Source organism: Homo sapiens, chromosome 21 (assembly GCF_000001405.40).
Source record: "Homo sapiens chromosome 21, GRCh38.p14 Primary Assembly".
In the NCBI taxonomy this organism is placed as follows: domain Eukaryota; kingdom Metazoa; phylum Chordata; class Mammalia; order Primates; family Hominidae; genus Homo; species Homo sapiens.
The window spans coordinates 25,079,453-25,082,832 of record NC_000021.9 but is presented as its reverse complement, the minus strand read 5'-3'; the positions used below and the strand labels follow the sequence as shown (position 1 = coordinate 25,082,832).

General features: G+C 39.6%; 1 annotated feature.

The window, feature by feature from the left end:
• Positions 971 to 2,170: an enhancer, noted in NCBI's record as "CDK7 strongly-dependent group 2 enhancer chr21:26452976-26454175 (GRCh37/hg19 assembly coordinates)". NCBI's record gives its function as "activates an origin of replication core promoter dependent on BRD2, BRD4, P300/CBP, MED14 and CDK7 cofactors, with strong dependence on CDK7, by STARR-seq in HCT116 cells {active_cell/tissue: HCT116}" and the evidence as "EXISTENCE:reporter gene assay evidence [ECO:0000049][PMID:35650434]".

The following is a 3,380-nucleotide window of genomic DNA, read 5'->3' as shown; positions in this document are numbered from 1 at the left end:
AGGTAGCCCAGTTTATGGTATTTTGTTACAGCAGCCTGAATGGACTAAGACACTTGGGAAATGGAAAGAGGGAGTAAGATAGATTTTTAATATCCATACTTATTATTATTATCTTGAACACACACACATGAGGTTTCTAACACAGAGAAAATTATTATTTACTCATAGCAAACAAACCTGTGGTTTCCTGATGCCTCAACTTTTTAACCCTGGGGTAAAGCAATGAGATTCAGATGTTATCCTATACATACTAATTTGTATTGTAGGAGAGTAATTCAGAAAAAAATAATTGAGGTATTTTGCTCATTGGGAAGCATGTTTTTACTCTGACCTTTTGGAATGTATATAAATCTCTCTAAGGGAAAGATAACATTATTGTGTTCAGCTTTTGAACTTAGGGACATCTTTGAAGTCCCATGTCTCAGTAACCTGTTCCCTCCCCCAGTTCCTCAAATATATTTTTCTAGAATTCTTTATTTAAATCGTACATAATTTATCTTTCCAAACTGGCTCATGTCCCGACTTTCTGTAAAATTTACTCAGAAATCTTTACGTATCAAAGCTGAGTTTATTAAGCTTACTATAGAAATGGAAAACTCCACATTCACCATCTCTTAGTATCAAAAGGCGGGAAAAAGATAATTTATAGATTTTGTCCCCTGGACTCAAATAGATTAATGTGTATATTTCAAGGCAAGAAAAATGACTGGGAGTTAATGTCAGAGTTTGTAACATATTTGTTGAAGATTAGTAGACACAGCAAGACCAGGCTCTCAAAATCAACCTCAATGAGTTGGCTATCTTCCTGATGAGTGAGCACTTTGTCCAGGTGAGCAGGTTATTGTGTGTGTTGGGGGGGTGTCTTTGTCGTGAGTCTAGAGTTGACAAATTTTACACCTTTCTTAACTTTTATTTTTTTCTACTTGCTCACTGCATGACTTGAAATAGTTTACAGGTCACTGCATGATATGATTTGGATCTGTGTCCCTACCCACGTCTCATGCTGAAATGCAATCCCCAGTGCTGGACGTGGGGCTGGGTAAGAGGTGATTGGATCATAGGTGCAGTTTCTAATGAATGGCTTAGCACCATCCTCCTTGGTATTGTCTTGATGATACTTGAGTGAATTTTTGTGAGATCTGGTTGTTTAAGTGTGCGCCACCTCCCCCTTCTCTGTTCCTCCTGCTCCAGTCATGTAAGATGAGCCTGCTTCCCCTTCGTCTTCCACCATGATTGTAAATTTCCTGAGGCCTCCCTAGAAGCTCAGCAGATGGCCGACATCATGCTTCCTTTAAGCCTGCAAAACTGTGAGTCAATTAAACTTTTCTTTATAGAGTATCCTGTCTCAGGTATTTCTTTATAGCAGTGGGAGAACGGACTAATATACTGCCTTTTCTCCAATTTGTAGCCATCTTCAACATTCTATCCAGGATTTCATGGATAATTTTTCTGTGCTCACGTATTCTTTTCTCTAGCAGGCCATAACCAGCTTAATTTCATATGTATGTTCGGGAATGTCTGTGGTTTGTGGCAGAGTGACTTATATAGTTAGCACTTACGAAATGCTTATTATATTAATGGACTCCTATTGACAAAATTCTTAACTTCTCTCTTTATTCTCCCACTATGATGCTTCAAATTTCTTAGAAGCTGTATTTACATAGTTGAGTCTTTAAATCAGAGAGCAGAAACAATTTGTGTAAATTAAGTATAGTGCCCAGAACCAAAGCTAGTATTTCAAACAGCTTTTAACTCTCAAACAGAGCTCTGAAACAAAGAGTTTTTAACTCTCTTCTTGCAGATCTTCTGAGGAGATGACAAGGGACAGGAGATCAAGTTCAATGACATGGCCAATGACTCAGCCAATCATGACTACATGACTGACTACATGGTGAAACCCCAATGAAAACTCTCACCATCTAGCTTGGAGAGCTTCTGTGGTTGTCAATGCTCTGTGTATCATCACATTTCAATGTGCCATGAGGGTGACACTTTCTGATTTCACAAGGAGAAGACAACTGGAAGCTTAGGGTCTGAGACTCTGCCAGACTTAGCACCATGTGTTTTTTCTCTGGCTGGTTTTGATTTTGTATCGTCTCTGCTATAATGAAGCTGTAATCATAAATGTAGCACTTTCCTGAGTTCTGTGAGTCATTCAAGTGAATTCTCAAACCTGAAAGGAACCCTCAAGTGTGTAGCCAGTTGGTTAGAAGTGAGGATGTCCCTGAGATCCTTGAGCATGCAGCTGGTGTCTGAAGTAAGGTGGTCTCATGGAGGACCTGTAAAATTTGGACTAACTCTAGATAGTTAGTGTTAAAAGTCATTGCACTGCTGGTTTCCCTTGCTGCTAAATACTGAGCAATTCTCTGTAATGATCTCAGCCCTTTTTGGACCTGCCATCATTTGTAGAATGCCTGTGGCCCCTATCCAGAGTATTCAAGTAATTCTGAGTGTCCTGAAAACCACAGGGAGCCTGGACCACTGCCTGAGGCTCATATGGCCATCTGCCGTAGCTTCTGGCATACAATTATTTTGTCTTAGTGAAAGTAGCTGTAAGCACTACAGGCTAGTAACACCTGAATTTCCAGAGTGGATTTTGTGATGTGCCACACAGACTCCTTTTTAGGACTGAAATATGTAGGCTCTCAGCTTTTCAGAATGTCACTGGCTTACTGCCCTCAGATGACAGTCTTTTCTGGAAAATGCCCCATGTTGGAGACAGCTGCTTTACCCAAGTGACAACCTACATTCAATTATGATAGATGCAGGAATATAAAATCCCAGTTCTCTCATTACAATGCAGGCAATGCTGAAGGCCCGTCACAGCTTCAGAGCTCCTTGTAGGTTTGGCCTTTGTTTGGACTGCATCACTGTTTAGCTTCTCCTTCTGTCCAATCCTGCCTCATTTCATTACTTTTTTAAGTTTTCAAGGACTTCTGTGGTAGAATTCTTGTGTAGTAATCTTTTCAAATTTTGCTTCCCAGGGAACCCAGTCTGCAATAGTTGGCACCGACTGGTCAGAGAAAGAAGAGATAGAATTCAGAAGCTTAATTACCTGCTAGCTCACATTTAGGCCTCCATAACTTTTGTCAGATGAACAAAAATGAACCTTGTACAAGATAGCAATGTTGTTAAGTGCTTCAGTATATTATTGAAAGGAATGCAATAGTAAGTACAGATTATCATGATGATGAGTAATCTGAGGTAACAACTGACATAAAGTATAGAGAAAGCAAGTGGTTGTTGTTAAGTGCAATCGATGCTTTGAAGAAAGATAACCAAAGTGATTAGGCAGTAATTTGAAATTAAGTTTAAAAGCCAGAGGGCTTCCTTGATAGCATAGCAAGGCCTAACTACAGCCAGAGAGCAAGTAAAGCTGA